The 18,671-nt window shown below is 47.1% G+C and overlaps 1 pseudogene across 1 annotated transcript; it reads right to left on the reverse strand.

Annotated features, from left to right (window-relative positions):
- Positions 1-1,025: 1,025 nt before the first annotated feature.
- Positions 1,026-18,634, reverse strand: ACTE1P (actin epsilon 1, pseudogene; annotated as a pseudogene). Its single transcript, NR_038862.1, has 3 exons — positions 18,614-18,634; positions 17,081-17,184; positions 1,026-3,062 (listed from the first exon to the last, which is right to left on the reverse strand). The product of NR_038862.1 is annotated as an actin epsilon 1, pseudogene (transcript).
- Between the last annotated feature and the right edge of the window lie 37 nt (positions 18,635-18,671).

Here is an 18,671-nt window from a genome sequence, read left to right on the forward strand (position 1 = left end):
CCGAAGGACACCCTGGGTCTCTGTGGCTATGACTTCTTGACTTGGGAGTTAAGGGCACTGCATCGAGCTTGTGGGGAGGGACATGGAGCTTAGATCTAGAAAAAAAGGTGACCTCTCTCAGAGACTGAAACTTACTCCCAGCTGCCCATGAAAATAAAACCAAATCAAGAGCCCAATCTGCTGTGGTTGAGCCAAGCAGTCTGCTGCCCCATAATTCATCTTGGTCACTCATTCTGTTTTGGCAAAGAATTTTCCTCTCGCTGTGATCTTGTGTTTCACCATCTAGGTCAGCGTTCCCCAACCTTTTTGGCACCAGGGACCAGTTTCATGGAAGACAATTTTTGCACTGAGCAGGGCAGGGGATGGTTTCGGGATGATTCAAGTGCATTACCTTTATTGTGTGTGGCCCTGAGCTTGTTTTCCTGCAACTAGGACAGTCCCACATGGGGGTGATGGGAGACGGCAACAGTGCCTGCAGCCTAGCTGGGGTGGATTTGGAGGGGAGAGCCTTGCTCTCAGCAGATGCTCCCTAATGCACCCCCTCTAAGTCAATTCATACTCCAAGGATAAGGCCCCTTCCCTGGAGGAGGGGCTGAGAGCTGAGATGAAATTCCACATTGTAACTGTAGTGGGTTGAATGATGCCCACCCCCCTATCATTATGTCCACCTGGAGTCTCAGGTGACTATCTGCATCGAGTGTCTTTGCAGAAGTGATAGTTAAGAATCTCAAGATGAGAATCACCTTGGATTACCTGGATGGGCCCCAAATCCAATGACAAGTGTCCTTCTAAGACAGAGGCAGGAGGAGATTTGAGACAGAAAAGGAAAAAGAGAAGGAGGCCATGTGAAGACGGAGGCAGCCAAAGGATGCCTGGAGCCCCCAGGAGCTGGAAGAGACAGGAAAGATCACCTGCTAGAGCCTTGGGAGGAAGCCAGCCTTGCTGACACCTTGCTTTCAGACTCCAGGTCCCCAGAACTATGAGGAAATACATTTCTGTTTTTTTTTTTTGTTTCGTTTTGTTTTGTTTTTGAGATGAAGTCTCACTCTGTCGCCCAGGTGGAGTGCAGTGGCGCGATCTCAGCTCACTGCACCCTCTGCCTCCCGGGTTCAAGCGATTCTCCTGCCTCAGCCTCCAGAGTAGCTGGAATTACAGGCGTGTGCCACCACGCCCAGCTAATTTTTGTATTTTTAGTAGAGACGGGGTTTTGCCATGTTGGCCAGGCTGGTCTCAAACTCCTGACCTCAGGTGATCCACCCACCTCGGCCTCCCAAAGTGCTGGGATTACAGGCGTGACCCACCGCACATGGCCACATTTCTGTTGTTCTAAGCGAATACACGAATATACTAGTCATTGTTATCATCACTGCTATCGTCATCATTGCTAAACACTCCCTATGGTCCAGAAACTGCACCAAACATACATTCACTCATCTCATTTAACCTTCAGGCCGAATCTCTGAGATACATACTTTGGACAATCACATTATGCAAAAGAGATGCCTCTGCCACAGCAGCACCCTTGCGCTGAGTCATGCATGTGCTGAGGACAGGGCTGAGATTGGAGCCTCAGTCTCCCCGGCCCTGAAGCCCCAGCTCTTAACCACTGAGCTCCATAATCCCCAAGCAGCAAGCTGGTTGGCTAGCTCGAGTGCAGGCACCTGCGATTTGCCAGGGTGGTCCCTGCTATGATCCCTGCCACTTGGACAACGAGGAGGAAATCCACTGGCTCCCAGCATCCATGTGCATTTTATCCTCTTAGAGAGGGAGACGGGATTTTCTCCTCTGTCACAGCTCCGGGAGCCAGTGTATCTTGGATAATTAGAAACACTGCCAATAATTTGCTCCAAGTGCTGCAAAGAGCAAGAGTGATCGCCATGAGGTCCTGCGACATCTGAGATCTTCCACGTCACGACGCTGCTCCCTACCACGGACGATTGGAACTTCCAGAGGATGAGCTCCATGATCCAGAGCATGAGCTGGGAACGCAGTTGCACTGGGGGGTCTTGCCCCCACCACTTTGTCACCATGTGGATTCGAGAAGTCACCTCTCGGAGCAGGTGGTTCCTCTTCCGGGAGAAGAGGCATCTCTGTCCCTACCTGGCATGCAGCCAGGCTCAGACCCACTCGCCCAGTTTCAGTTATGACGCGACTGTGTTGTCCGGGGGAGGGGGATGAGCAGTTGGTTTTTAATGGGGCCAGAGCTTCCGTTTGGGAGGATGAGAACGTTCTGGAGATAGATGGTGGTGAATGTTCTTGATGCCACTGAACTGTGCAGTTAACACAGCTTTACACTGTGTATACTTTACCACAATAGAAACACCTGTGTTTCTAAATTCCCTTGAAACACAGGAAGATCTGGCGATGTGGGATCCACTTGCTGGCATGTCAGAGATGGGCCTCTTGGAGGGCCTGTGTCCCGGTCCCCACCTGCCCTCCTACTGCCTTCCTATCACGGAGGCTGAGTGTCCATTGCCACTCACCCTAATGGACTCCCGTTTACCCTAAAGGCAAATTGCTCCTTCTCTGTGTCCATACCTCTCTGAATGTGAGAAGAGCCAGAGATGGGAGACGGGCAGTAAGACTGATTTTTCACAATGCATCCACTTTACTGATTTACACATCGCTGCTCTCTCTAAGCCTGCGGCTCTCAGAGTGGGCCGCATGCTGGGAGTGGTGAGAGGGGCAAGGCCTTGCCCACCCCATCTCCCACCCCCGACCAGCTGAGGCAGAGACTCTAGGTGGCCCGGCCATCTGTATGTTATCAAGCCAGGTGCTCCCGACTTGGATTTGTGGAGGCAAGTTCGCACCCACCACGCCCCGCTCAGCAGATTGCCTTGGCCGCCCTGTGGCAGAGGGGATGGGGTTGACCGGGCCAGCAGGCCACCTCTGGATGAGCAGCACCCCACAGGGAAGAGACCCCGACATCACTCACATCGTGCCGAAGTTTCCCGAGGACAGTGGGGAACATGCCCATTGGGCTTTCCATTCCTGCAAATCCCACCTTGCTGAAGCCAGAGCCGTAGTCACAGATGAGGGGCACGCTGTCCATGGCGGTGAGGCTGGGGGAGAGAACACACGGTTACCCATGCCACTGCATGGCACTGGTCCCTGGGACAGGCACTGTGCTGGGCGTTAAGCTTAGGGCTCATAGCGCCCAGGGGCCCAGGGTAGTGTGGGTGGCCCCCCATACCCAGAGCTGGGCCCTGGGTGGGCAAGAGCCACTTCCAGGATGCCGTGTGCAGTTTGTTGGAAGGGGGTCCTTTCCGATGACCATTTGCACATGGCTGCCCTGGAGAAGGGAGGATTAGGGGGGCCCTGCACTAATGCTTTGGCCTCCACCTGTTTCTAGCAAACTGTGACCTGCTTCGCAGCCACTTATCTGAAGCAGCCCCTCTCCCCTTCGTGGAAGGGGGAGACCCCAAGAGGAGCTGGGGCCCTGGGTGGTCTGCAAGCTGTGGTCACAGACGGATTCCTGACTTCCAGCTCCAACGCTGCCTTATCTGGGAAGCTTCACTGACCTCCTGGCCCTGGTTGAAACCATTCTCTCCCTCTGCTTTGCTTCTAGAGAACATTTTCCATATTTTTGCAAGTTTAGAAAACATGCAGAAAGATACAGAGCATCAAAATCACCTGAGGTCCCCGCCCGTGGTCACCCCTCTGATATTTTGGCATTTCTGTTTTCAACCTACTTTTTTTTAGACAAAGTCTCACTCTGTTGCCCAGGCTGGAGTGCAGTGGCATGATCTTGGCTCACTGCAACCTCCGCCTCTCAAGTTCAAGGGATTCTCCTGTCTCAGCCTCCCGAGTAGCTGGGATTGCAAGTGCGAGCCACCACACCCAGTCACTTTTTTCTATTTTTAGTAGAGATGGGGTTTAGCCATGTTGACCAGCCTGGTCTCGAACTCCTGACCTCAGGTGATCTGCCCGCCTCAACCTCCCAAAGTGCCAGGATTACAGGCATGAGTCACCATGCCCAGCCTGTTTTCAACCTACTTTTATGCACTGTATAGGTTTTTAAAAAATCAACTACCCTCAAAAATGAATGAGTCCATTTTCTTTTTCGAATATTGCATTGTGATTAAATATTTATTATCACAAATGTTTTCTTCGTTTTATAAGTGACTTTTGGATCTTTTTTCGATAAAGAAAGAATACAGGCTCATTGTAGAAAATAGAGAAAACTGTGAAGAAAAACAAAACCTTTTCCAAATCCTGCTAATCGGAAGTAACCTTTGCCAATATTCAGCTCTCTACCCTGACAGTCGTCACAGAAAACAGAGGGGTCTCTGTTCATCTAGTGCCTCTGTGAACAGCTGTGTGAGGTGAAACTCAGTGGGGCATGAGGGCGTCTCTCACTAAGTTGCTAGGTATACACACTACACATATTACAGTATGTACGGTTTTGTGTTAGACTTTTCAGTGGAACATTATAGCCATTTGCATGTTATGGAATATTTGATGGAAACGTTTTCCTTCTAACACCATCTACCACATCTGCTATGAATCCTCTGTGGAGCCTGTAGGTCCTATTTTTTTGGTCACCGTCAGCAATCCTGGGATAATCTCCTTAGTCATCCTTCTTTTTCTTGCATTTTGGATCAGCCCCTTTCCATCACCTCCTTTGAATGACTAGTTGGAAGAGCAAAAATTTTTAAAGGCTCCTTAAACATTTTGCCAAATTGCTGTCCAGAAACGTTGGTCAGTTTGCCACAGCCACATCAGGCCCTTGTCACACGGAGCTGCCATCATCTCTGCAGGCCCCTGTCTCGCATCTCCATGTCAGGCCCATGCCCCCCGCTCTGCGTACTGCATGCTCAGCTGATATGGCTGGATGGCTTTTGAACCCACCTGGTCTCTCATGTGGGGGCTTCATAACCTTCCTCTCTGGAATATTTGCTGGTGTCCCATCTGTCTGCATGCTGACTGCGTATCTGCAGCCAGGCTGTTGCTTCTGGAAGGCCAAGCATCGGCTGCCTGTTCATTCCTGTGCGTCCTGGACATGCAGGGATGGAGGAGGCTTTGGTTACTACAGTTTTGTAGTATATTTTGAAGTCTCATAATGCCAGGTTTGTGCTTTTGCTCAGGATTGTTTTGGCTATTCAGAGTTTTTTTTTGGTTCTGTACAATTTTAAGATTTTTCCAATTCTGTGAAGAATGTCCTTGGTATTTTGGTAGGGATTGTGTTTAATCTGTAGATTACTTTAGGTACTATCATCATTTTAACAATATTTCTGGATCCATGAGTATGGGATGTCGTTCCATTTGTTTTTATTTTTTGTCAGTCACTTCTTAAATATATTCCTAGGTATTTCATTTTTCATAGCTATTGTAAATGGCCTCATCTTCTCGATTTCCTTTTTAGCTATTTTGTTGTTCATGTATAGCAATGCTACTGATTTTATATGTTAATTTTTTATCTTTACTAAATTCATTCAATTCTAAAAGATTTTTGGTAGAGTCTTTAGGATTGTCTATATATAAGATCATATTGTCTGCAAATAAGAATAATTTGACTTTTTACTTTCTAATTTGCAGAGCCTGAGACATGAGGGGCACTTGACAGCACAGGAAACCCTTGGGTGCATTTCCTGACCTGACCCTCACTGCGGTGACAGATGTGATGGCCTCGATGACGTTGATAGTGATGATGATGACAATGATAATGATGACTATGACAATGATTATGATGACAATAATGACAATGACAATGACGATGACAATGATGACTGTGACAATGATGATGATGGCTGTGACAATGATTATGACAATGATGATGACTATGACAATGATGATGACTATGACAATGGCGATGACGATGACATAATGATGACAATCATGATGATGACTACGACAATGATGACGACATTGACAGTGATGACAATAATGATGTCGATGATGATAATGATGATGACAATGGTGATAACAATGATGATGACAATAATGATAACAGCAATGACAATGATGATGAAAATGATAACAATGACAATTATGATGATGACTATGATGATGATGGCAATGATGACATTGATGATGATGATAATGACAATGATGATGATGACAATGATGACATTGATGATGATGATGACAGTGACAATGATGATGACAATGATAATGACAATAATGATAACAATGACAGTGATGACAATGATGATGATGGATTGTCTTGATATGCAAGGCATTTCCCCCACGTAAATCAGCAAATACCCAATGTGGGAGCAGACATCCAAATACCTTGCTCTTTCTACCAAGTGCTATGCATTTGGGGCACAGAAATAAATTGATTCCAGGCCTGGTCAAGCTGTTTTCGTTTTTCCTTTGGTACAATAGCATTTGCATTCTGATGTCAAAGATGTGGTTTTTCCTTTGTTTTGTTTTAAATCAACTGATGTTGGCTTCCACTCCCAAAGAAAGAGGGAAATGAGGCCATAAATAATTGCACTGCTCTCCTGAGCCAAAATATTTTCATCTGGGGTGTGTTGAGTGGAATAAAAACTGGTTCAGTGCAGGGAAGGCTTTTGCCTCCAATGGGCTGAATCCGAGTTTGCCCCAGCATGGTGTGGCCAACCAAGCAGCATGCTTCTACTTTACTCCAGATCCTCATTGATCTGAAACTTACTTGTGAATCCAAATATTGACTATCAATGCACAGAAGTAAAAATCTAAAGAAAGCATAACAGAAATTGGAAGAGGCCAGCTGCAGTGGCTCACATCTATAATTCTAGCACTTCAGGAGGCCAAGGAAGGAGGATTGCCTGAGTCCAGGAGTTCAAAACCAGCCTGGGCCACATAGAAAGACCCCATCTCTACAACAAATTAAAAAATTATCTGGGAATGGTGGTGGCACACACCTGTAGTCCCAGCTACTTGAGAGGCAGAGGCAGAGGCAGAAGGATTGCTTGAGCCCAGGAGTTTGAGGCTGCAGTGAGCCGACATTGCACCACTGCACTCCAGCCTGGGCAACAGAGCAAAACCTTGTCTCTAAAAAAAAAAAAAAAAAAAAGAAAGAAAGAAAAAGAAAAAGAAAAGAAATCAGAAAAGATTGCTCAGCTACTGAGAAAAGAAACTGTTGGTTCACATCACTGACATAGAAAAGGAAGGAAAGAAGGCATTGCCCTGTTTCAGGTTCTGTGCTGGGGACATAACTAATACCAGGGAGAGAACAGGTGACAAACAGGTGCAGAGAGGTAAGAGGTGGAGCCCACCCGTAGTCCAGGCAGGGCCCCTCTGTGTCATTGCTTCTGCATGAGGCCACTGTGAGGTGCCTAGCAGAGGTCATGGTCTCTTGACCTAGTTGGGGCTTCTGGAAGCTGGCCCAGCAGCCTCCTAGAGCCTCTGCCTCTCTTTCCACTCTAATCCTGCTCCAGTCTTAAGATTTGGATGAGGTGGGCCCTAAGGGCTCACAGGACCCATGCTGGCCAGTAAGATTATTCCACTCCTTGGCTACTAAAGTTGGCTAAATAATGGTCCCTGTCCTCACACCACATCCTAATGTGTATATGTGTATATGTGAGCTTCCATGGCAAAAGAGACTTTATAGTTGTGGTTAAGTTATAGATCTTGAGATGAGGAGATTGCCCTGGATCATCTGGGTGGACCCTAGGTAATCATGAGAGTCCTTGTAAGAGGAAGCAGGAGGTCAGAGTCAGAGAGATTGGAAGATGTTATTATTGCAGTGAGCCAAGGCATGCAGGCACCTCCAGGAGCTGGAAAGGGCAAGGAAATGGGTTCTCCCAGTTCCTAGAGCCCCCAGAGGGAAAATGGCCCTGCAGACACCTTGATTTTGGCCCACTGAAATCCATTTCAGACTTCTGACCTCCAATACATTTCAATTGTCTTAGGTCAAAGTTTGTGTTGATTTGTGATGGCTACCCTTGACCAGGGTGGGCATGTGATGCCAGCCATGGTTTCTTCCTGGGATCTTGGTCATCTCTCAGGAAGGATACTCTCTTCCCTTGGATTAAGGATCTGGGAGAACCTGAAGTGAGCCTGGAGTTGCCCTTGTAGCTGCCTTGCGGCCCCACAACCAGAGCTTCCCTGAGGAGGAAGTCAGCCCTCAGGAAGCAGAGGAGAGACATGAGGAACAGAATTTTTACAGTATCATTGGAGCACAAACCTCAGCCTGCCCTGCACTGTTCAGCCCAGGGAGCCAACAGAATTTTTTCCTGCCAAATGGGTCTGAGTTGGGTTTCTGTCACTTGCAACCGAGACAGTCCTGACCGATTTTTAGCAATTGGGCTTCTTCATTGGTCCTGGGCATTAGAGCTTCATTGGATGAAATGCCCAGAAAATCATTGGAATTAGAGATATATGATTATCCTCTGAAAATGCTCTTGTAGATTTAGCTTAAAGTAGATTAGGTCAGAGGTGATTAATTCTGAATCAAGGGTTATCAGTATTCATTCAGCAAATATTCACCAACTGCCTCCTAGGGGCACGGTGCTGTTCTAGAGTGAGGAGACAGTGAGGAGGATTCAGACAAGTTTCTTTCCCCATGGGCATGCTGGTCTCCCTGGGAAGCCAGATATTATATGGAATTTATTTATTTATTTATTTGAGATGGAGTTTCACTCTTATCGCCCAGACCAGAGTGCAATGAAGCCATCTCGGCTCACTGCAACCTCCATCTCCTGGGTTCAAGTGATTCTCCTGCCTCAGCTTCCCGAGTAGCTGGGATTATGGGCGTGCACCACCACACGCAGCTAATTTTTGTATTTTTAGTAGAGATAGGGTTTCACCATGTTGGCCAGGCTGGTCTCAAACCCCTGACCTCAGGTGATCCACCTGCCTTGGCCTCCCAAAGTGCTGGGATTACAGGCATGAACCACCGCACCTGGCCCAGAATTTATTTTTAAATTAAAAAGTCATTCAAAATTTTTCAATTGTGATCAGTGCCATCGAGGCTGCCTGTGCATGTCTTGTGATGTCACTTGTCCTGCCTGGAGCATTGACCTATGAATGCAGTGTGCAAATGTCTCAGAATAGCAGTGACGCAGACGGGGGGAGGTGCCAGAAACTTCTGGGCCAAAGTGGGTCAGGGCCCACCAGCTCTGTTTGGGTGACCATGCATAGCCAAGCCACACACTCGTGGTCCTCTGGAGATGTTGGTCTTGATCGTTTTCTGCTGTGGGCTGTCCTGTGCCTTGTAGGATGTGTAGCTGCCCCCCAGCTTCCACCCACTAGATCCCTGTAGCACCCTCCAAGTTGTGACAACCCAAAATGTCCAAGCTTTGCCAAGTGTGCCTGCAGAGGGAGTGGGAGGTGGACAAAAGAGTCCTGGCTGAAAGGGAAGGGCCTTCATGATGCAGACCTGTGGAAGCCAGGTGGGAGGACAATTCCAAGGGGTGAACCAGTTAGAACCAGATTTTCCAAGCTTATGAAATACTTTCCTCACCAGGGAAGCCATCACAACAGATCTGATACTATCATTGTTTCTCTCCATCTTAATCCAAAATCATTTATTCCATCACAAGAAGAAAAAATCAGGAAGTTCAATATGTCCCAGGCAGCTCTGACATCATCGTGTCCTGCTGCACCATCGGGCACATCATGCCTGACTCCCCCCAAGGCTGCGACAGGAGACATTCTTCCTGCTCAGGACTCTGGTGTTCCTGATGGGTCCTGTGCCTGCTTGAGTCATGTGGCTGCAGAGAAGAGGACTGATGTGAAGACTTGTGTTTAGTAAACTGTACAGTGCTGTAATACCTAAGGGGTGATCATAATAATAATATCAAGGAGTTATCTCTATTATATTTTGGGCAATTTGAATTTCCCAAAAGGGAGAAGTTGGGGAGGGACAGAGAGAATGAGAGTGAGACAGAGAGAGAGAAAGAGAGAGAGAGAGAGAGATAGATTGTGAGAAGGGGATGTTGGAGTGTTGGAGAGGGTTAGAATTGGAAAATAAGTTGGTAGACTGAAGTATTTGCAAGGCATTGTGTGAGCTCCAGGATGGATGGATAGATGAGTGAATGGATGGGTGGGTAGATGAATGAATGAATGATGGATGGATGGATAGATGAATGGATGAATGGATTGATGGATGGGTAGGTGGGTTGATGGGTGGGTAGATGGATGATGGATGGATGGATGGATAGATAGATGGATGAATGAATAGATGGATGGATAGGTGGATGGGTGGGTGGATAGATGGATGGATGGGTGGATGGATGAATGGATGAGTGGATGGATAGGTGGGTAGATGAATGAATGAATGTTGGATGGCTGGATAGATGAATGGATGGATGGATGGGTGGGTGGGTGGATGGATGGGTAGATGGATGATGGATGGATAGATAGGTAGATGGATGAATGGATACATGGATGGGTGGGCGGATGGATGGATGGATGGATGGGTGGGTGGATGGGTGGGTGGATAGATGGAGGGATGGGTGGATGGATGGATGAATGAGAGGATGGGTGGATGGGTGAATGGATGGATGATGGGTGGTAAGTCCATGGATGGATGGATGGATGGATGGATGGATGGATGGATACATAATGTAGTCATTTCTATCCTTGCATCTCTTATACCTCTCTAAGTTTAGACAGCCTTGTCTTCACCTAGTCCATTTTTTAGAAAGAAATCTTTCAAAACAGGCCTTATAGAAAGAGAAATGATGTATCTGCCTACTCCCTACACAAACTTTCTACGATCCTGGCATCCCTTTATAACAAAGCATAGTTCAACCCTACAAGTGTGCACTGAATACTAACTTATTACATTACTTTAGCGAGTTCTTGGATCTCTCCAAGTGCACAGAGATGCCCTTGGGGGTCCCACCTTTGTCCTCTCTTCTCAAAGAGCCTGAACATGCCTGATGCCCTGTGGATGAGATCTGTTCTTCTCATGGGAAACAGATAGGATTCACAGAATTTAGCTACTGTGTTTTTCTTAAGCAAATTATACTAAGATCCATGTGGCAATGTCCCAGAAGAGAGACCACATAGAGTTGCAAGGGAGCAGAACATGTACTGCTTACATCCTTCCTCTCTTGAGAAGTTGTGCTGGTTGGCTTCCAATGTTTCTGATTGAAAATAGGGTGAAGCAAACCCCAGATGATTTAAAGGGGCTGGGATAGGATGTTCCCCAAGGCACTACCACAGGCTCTGGGCAAAACCCTGTTTCTGCTCTCAAAAAGCTCCCAACTCGTAGGAGAAAAACATTTGTAAAAAAGAAATTAATGCAATGCGACAAGGGCTGTAAAAGGAGGCAACAAGGTGAGTTGAGCTTTGAAGCCTTGAACAGATTCTAGGCAGGGACAAGCAAAAGCCCAGAGCTGGGCAGGGAGTCCTTGGAGACGTATGTGAAGGGACATTCAATGGTCTTGGGTGTCCTCCATTCTTTACGCCCCCAGTGCTGTCACATCTGTAGGGGTTCACTGAGACATTTATAACAGCAGCCACACGGAGATGACTTTCTTGTGCCAGACACTCTCTAGATTAATCCCGCTAGCCTCTCAGCAACCTTCTGAGGCTGGGTAGCATCAGTCTCATTTTTTCTGTGGAGGGATCAGGCTCAGGGGAATGAAGTGAGAACTCCAGCTATGAAAGCTGGAGCTAAAAATTTGATGCCAAGCAGCCTCATTCCCTATCCTTTCTTTCCACCTGAGTGGTAAATTGCAAACAGCCATAGATTCCTTGCAGCTGCTCTTGTTACGAAGTGGAGCCTATTTTCCCATGCTTAAACCTGGACTGGTCTTGTGACTCCTTTGATGGGTACAGTGTGATGAAAGTGACGTTGTGTGAGCTCCAAACATAGTCATCAGAGGAGCTGCAGCTTCCTCCCTTGCTATGTTCAGACCACCCTGGTGTGGGAGCTGGAGTTAGCCTCTTGGAGGAGGAGAGGCCACGTGGAAGAGAACCAAGATGCCCAGCCAACAGCCAACCACCTGCTAGACATGTGGCTGAGGCTACCTTGGATAATCCACCATCAGATGACCTGTGAGGTGACCCCCACCCCCAGGTGCACAAGAGAGCTCAGAGAGACCAGCCAAACCAGCTCAGACCAGAAGAACCCCGAGTTGACCCACAGACTGGTGAATATAATATGACGGTTGTTGAAAGCTATAAAGCCTCAGTAAGGTTGTGCTACACTGACCTGCATCTGTACTCTAAACAAATGGTCCTTCCCAGACCTCCATGGTCTGCTTTCAACTCGCTCAAAGTCATCCACTCACCAATACAAAGATGGAAAACACAGAGAAGCTAAGGGGATTGTTGAAAATCACACTGTAATGGTCTGAACCAGAGGCTGGCAAACAAAAGCCCAGAGGCTAATTCTGGCCCACTGATTGTCTTTGTAAATTAAGTTTTATTGGAACTCAGTCACACTCATTTGCACCCTGTCTCTAGCTGCTCTTGGGCTACTACGGCAGAGTTGAGTAGTTGAGAACATGTGGCCCACTGTACTAGTCTGTTCTCGCACTGCTGTAAAGAAATGCCTAAGACTGGGTAATTTATAAAGAAAAGAGGTTTCGGGCCGGGCGCAGTGGCTCACGCCTGTAATCCCAGCACTTTGGGAGGCTGAGGCGGGCGGATCACGAAGTCAGGAGATTAAGACCATCCTGGCTAACACAGTGAAACTCTGTCTCTACTAAAAATACAAAAAATTAGCCAGGTGTGATGGCACACGCCTGTAGTCCCAGCTACTTGGGAGGCTGAGGCAAAAGAATCGCTTGAACCCTGGAAGCGGAGGTTGCAGTGAGCTGAGATTGCACCGTTGCACTCCAGCCTAGGCTCCTGAGACTCTATCTCAAAAAAAAAAAAAAAAAAAAAGTAAGAAAAGAAAAAAGGTTTAATTGGCTCGCAGTTCTGTGGGCTATACAGGAAGTGTGGTGCTGGCTTCCAGGTAGGCCACAGGAAAGTTACAATCATGGTGGAAGGTGAAGGGGAGGCAGGGTCATCCTAATGGCCAGAGGAGGAGGGAGAGAGAGGAAGGAGATGCCACACACTTTTAAACAACCAGATCTCATGAGAACTCTATCAGGAATAGCACCAAAGGGGGGTATTCCACCCCCAGGATCCAATCACCTCCCAGCAGGCCCCACCTCCAGCATTGGGGATTACAATTCCACATGAGATTTGGGTGGGGACACAGATCCAAACCATATCACCCACAAAACCTAAAATATTTCTTATGTGACCCCCTTGTAGAAAAAGTCTGACAACCCCTCATCTAGACTGTATCCCTTAACACTGTGACAACAGTTCTCAAAGTGCGGACCCCAGACCATCAAAATTAGCTTCATTTGTTAGAAATGCAGTCCGCAGTCCTCATCCCAGATCCCCTGAATGAGAAACGCTGGGTGGGGGCCCAGCAATCTTAGTCTAAGAAGACCCCCAGGTAAGTCTGATGCCCTCCAGTCGAAGATAAGACAAGAAAACCACCACCTTCAGTTACAGAAATCTGTTGTGATTGTTGACTCTCCAGTCTGAAAAGCGTGTTCTCGTGTCCTCACTCTAGCCTTTCAGGGAGGAAGAATTGCTCTCAAGTCCCATTTTACTAGTTTAATCTGCCCTTAGCAAGATTGGAGGCAGCTGAGAGCCACTCAGTAAAACGCTGGCAGCCCCCAGGAGCTGGCAGTGGGAGACACGGGATGACTGTTCCTTCCAAAATAAATGGAGGGTTTACAGAAGGCATACAGGATATGTGGCGTGCTGCTGTGACACACAATCAGTCCTAGCCAAACCAAGCCCTTACATTTGAGTACCAAAGTCTGGGTGAAATAACCACCTCATCCTGGTTTGGTTTTTTCCAGTTTCAACATTGAAGAAGCCATGTCCCCAAAAACTTCTCAGTCCTGGTCAAACTGGGACAAGTCCTAGGCCTGGGATGTAAAAGGCCAGGCTTTCCTGCAAAGAGCAGGTAACATGGTGGCCGATCCCGCCCACAAGCATCCACAGATGCTTCCTACAGGTGCTGGAATGAAGAGCTGGAAGCAGCCCAGTGCTCAGGGAGTCAAGGCATGGCTGGGTAAATACAAAGGCAGCTACCACCCAGTGTGGGGCACCGCCAGTAGCATTCCCAGGAGCCCCGGGAGCTGCAGGGGTCACGGGGGCATCTGAGCCAGCAGTGCAGTGGCACATGGGCATCAGCCTGGATCCCGTACCCTGGGACAGTCCTCTGCCTTGAGTCACTGTGTTCCAGACCCGACGTCTCTCACTACAGCTGTCACTTGTCATGCCTCCCACTCTACTTTCCACACCAGCTGCAGTTCTCTGGGTGGGGCTGAGCATCTGCGGTTCATTCACCCTTACAGCTTCTAGAAAGCCACACTGCAAACCCTATCGGCCAGATGAGAGCTTCCCCAGATCTAAGCTTCTCTGTCTCCCCAGGGCTGCACCCTGAGATACACATGCAGAAAGGATTATTTCTATTTTTATTTTATACTATGTTATTATGATATAAAACAAGATATATGTAATGTATATAAATGTTAGGGATGACTTTTTTTTTTTTTTGAGACAGAGTCTGGCTGCGTTGCCCAGGCTGGAGTGCAGTGGAACCATCAAAGCTCGCCGTAGCCTTGACCTTCCAGGCTCAAGCAATCCTCCCACCTTAGTATCCTGAGTAGCTGGAACTACAAGCATGCACCACCACACCTGGCTAATATTTTGTATTTTTAGTAGAAACAGGATTTCGCCATGTTGCGCCAGCTGGTCTCAAACCTCAGCCTTAGCTTCCCACAGTGCTGGGATTACAGGCCTGAACCATCACACCTGGCCTTATTTTTTTCTAACAGACAGAGCCTTGCTATGTCACTAGGCTGGACTGGAATGCAATGGCGTGATCATAGCCCACTGCAGCTTCCACATCCTGGGGGCTCACATGATCCTCCCACCTCAGCCTCCCGAGTAGCTGAGACTACAGGTGCACAACACCATGCCTGGCTAATTTTTTTTTTTTTTTTCTGTAGAGACAGAGTCTTGCCATATTACCCAGGCTGGTCCTGAACTCCTGGCCTCAAGCTAACCTCCCACCTCAGGCTCCCAAATGCTGGGATTATAGGTGTAAGCCACCTCACCTGGCCTTGTTTCAATAAATAAGTTAATAACCTGCTACCCAGTATAAGACATCACATATTCTCCACACTTCCTGTTTAGATCTTCCTCCCAATGATATCCAGCACCCTAACATTTTGCTTAATAATTCTCTTGCTCTTTTTAGCACTTTTGCCACACCTGGATATATCCCTAGAGAAGACATTGGTTTTGCCTGATTTGGGGCTTTCTGCAAATAAAATAACCACCTCGTATGTTTTTCCTGTGGCCTGTTTATTGTATTCGTCCTCTGGTGGTGCACCCATGTTGATGTGTGTAGCTGTGGTTTGTTTTTCACTGCTGTATAGTATTCCTGGTTCCACTGGATGAAAATGTGGTCATTTGGGCCAAGGGATATGTTTGGGTAGCAACAGAAAGCTGGAAAACGGTCCTGTGTGGATGATACCATGCTTTGCCTGGAGGGCTTGATGGGGTGTGCAGGTGGACCCTGAACTGAATTTCGGGGGATCCGGGTGAAGCTGAACTCCCTCTGCTCCCCCTCATAGCACTCAGCCCCTTCCCTAAACACATATCAGTCAATTAACGTAAGTAATTTGGGCTGAAGCTTGTTCCCCTGGGTGCTATGCGTCTTGGTCTAGTCCTGACGACATCACACGTACAATACTTAAGCATATATTTGCAGAAGTAATACGCACACAAATCAAAACCACGAAACCTCTGGAAGGGTAGAGCATGAGAAAACAGCATCTTGCTCCCTCACTTGCACCCAGAATCCCAGCTCCTGTACCCCAAGTGAGCACGCAGCACATCCCATGAGTAGCCTGCACCTTTGAGCCTCTAGATTTCACCGCTGGTTTCTTGGTGCAAAGCAGGTTACTTCTGTGTGCACTGTGCTCCCCCTGGTGGCTGTTCCCTAGAGCACAATTCTCACGCCTCAGTCCCAAATCCAAGTTTCAGGAAGGAAATGGCTTCACACACTATTCCCTCTGACGCAAGGTTGGTACTTTCAGCCTTTCAACCTACCCCTCACATAATACCTAAGAATTTTGCAACATTTTTTAAAGTTCTTAAAACAGAATCGTAAAAGGGAGAGGCAGTTTTAATATGTACGTACTTAATTAAAACATCTAGTTCTGGGTCCTAAGGGGATGGGGAACGCAGTCTCTGTCCTATAGGAATGGTGAGCGTGTCTAGCGCAGGGGTTGGCAAACTGTGGCCCACACGCCAAATCTGGCCAACCGACTGCTTTAGTAAATAAAGTTGTATTGGAACATGCTGATTTAATTCTGTGTTTATTGTCTGCGGTTGTTTTCTCGCTGCAATGGCAGAGGTGAGTAATCGCAGCAGAGACCTCCTGACCTACAAAGCCCCAAATATTTACTCACTGGCCCTTTTCAGAATCAGTTTGCCCACTCCTGGTGGAGTGTTTCAATGGAGACACCTATGACAATGACGTATGATCAGTCTGGAAGGAAGCTTCCTCTTAGGATTTGATTTTCCATTCATTCATCCCGAAACTGTTGCATACCTACTATGTGCCAGACGTTATTCTGGCCAGAAAAGATTCTTGATGTTGTTTTCCAACTTGGAGAGCTGTAGTATTTTCAGTGAGAACAGTAAGTCATACCAGTTACCAAGGTTGGTCATTCAGGCACAGATGCCCCCTGTATGCTGAACTGAAACTTATCTCAGGCCCCATCACCCCCTTTGCCTGCATCCCCTGATACTGTTGGAAGCCAACTCTGTCTTCTATGGAGGATATTGACAGTGAATTCCAGCTTGGTAGGACAGGGGAGGAAGGAGCGTGTTGGTAAGGTCTGGATCTGGCTACACTCTCGCTGTTAGTCTGGGCAGAGTCTAAATTGAGCAGTGGGAGTGTAGCCAGATCAAACCAGGTCAAGTCCCTAGACCTTGACTGGAGGCCGCCTCACTTTCAGCAGTGGTAGCCGGCTTGTGTCGCTGGCGAGAAATGCAAACGTTTGTGAATTTCAAATATGTATATATATATATTTGTGCTCCAAAGGCAGCACACCCGCATATGATTCTCCAGACACCGGGAGGCACTCGTCTCCCCTCTCACCTTTGCAATCCCCAGGTGAAGAGGCAGCACCTCTTGGCGTGATTCTCAAGGGGGTTTGTGTTTATTCAGCAATTTTTGGTCTTGCTCGGGGATGTTCTCACTTCCTATTTAAAAATTTAAAAAAAAAGATTCTGAAAGACTTAAACAGTGAAAACATTTAGGCCAAACCAGAGCTACTGAAACACACACACACACACACACACACACACACACACACACACATATATATATATATATAATGTGTATATATATATATAATGTATATATATATATAAAATGTATATATATATATATATATATATATATAATGTGTATATATATATATGCAGGAACAGAAAGCCAAATACCACATGTTCTCAGTTATAAGAGACAGCTAAGCATTGAGTACACATGGACACAAAGAGGGGAACAATAAAGGGTGGGGCCCCCTTGAGGGTGGAGGACGGGAGGAGGGTGAGGATCAAAAAACTACCTATCAAGTACTATGCTTATTACCTGGATGATGAAATAATCTGTACCCCAAGCCCCTGCGACATGCAATTTACCCATGTAAATATATATATACCTATATATACATATGTGTATTTGGAAGAAAATACCAACCTGCTTTTCATTCACCAGGTGGCCGCACACAATGCATGGTTGGGCCTTCCCCTTAATAAACATACCTGGATAAAGAAAATCTGGTGCATATACACCATGGAATACTATGCAGCCATGAAAAGGAATGAGATTATGTCCTTTGCAGGGACATGGATGGAGCTGGAAGCCATTATCCTCAGCAAACTAACACAAGAACAGAAAACCAAGCACTGCATGTTCTCACTTATCAGTGAGAGCTGAACAATGAGAACACATGGACACAAGGAGGGGAGTAACACACACTGGTGCCTGTCAGGGGGTGGGGTGGGGGAACGGAGAGCATCAGGATAAATAGCTAATGCACGTGGGGCTTAATAACAAGGTGATGGGTTGATAGGTGCAACACATCACCGTGGCATACGTTTACCTATGTGACAAACCTGCACGTCCTGCACATGTACCCAGGAACTTAAAATTAAAATTTAAATTAAAAAAACACACACACACAGCCTTGGTTTAAATGTGGCCTTGCTGGTCTGTGTCAGACATGTTACAGAAACCCATCCCTCTCCTAAGAGTTCTGCCAGGACCCCTGGCTCCAGGACTTTGCAGCCTGCTTTTGAGCACATGCCCACAGAAATTACTGAATTCCAGTAACATCAAGAATCTTTTCTGGCCAGAATAAAGTCTGGCACATAGTAGGTATGCAACAGTTTTGGGATGAATGAATGGAAAATCAAATCCCTTTTAGAATGGAACAAGATCACAGAACTAATTCGGTTCCATTTTCACCTACAAGGAAAGCTTTTTTAGTAGCCGGAGGAAGAGGTAAAAAGTAGCATCAAGAGAACATGTAAAACCACTAACTTTCACTCAGGAGAAACTTAAAACTCCCAGAGCAACCCCTATATGATTCTCCAGACACAGGGAGGCACTGGCCTCCTCTCTCACCTTTGCAATCCCCAGGTGAAGAGATAGCACCTGTCGGCGTGATTCTCAAGGGGGTTTG

The sequence above is a fragment of the Homo sapiens genome, chromosome 11 (genome assembly GCF_000001405.40).
Source record: "Homo sapiens chromosome 11, GRCh38.p14 Primary Assembly".
In the NCBI taxonomy this organism is placed as follows: domain Eukaryota; kingdom Metazoa; phylum Chordata; class Mammalia; order Primates; family Hominidae; genus Homo; species Homo sapiens.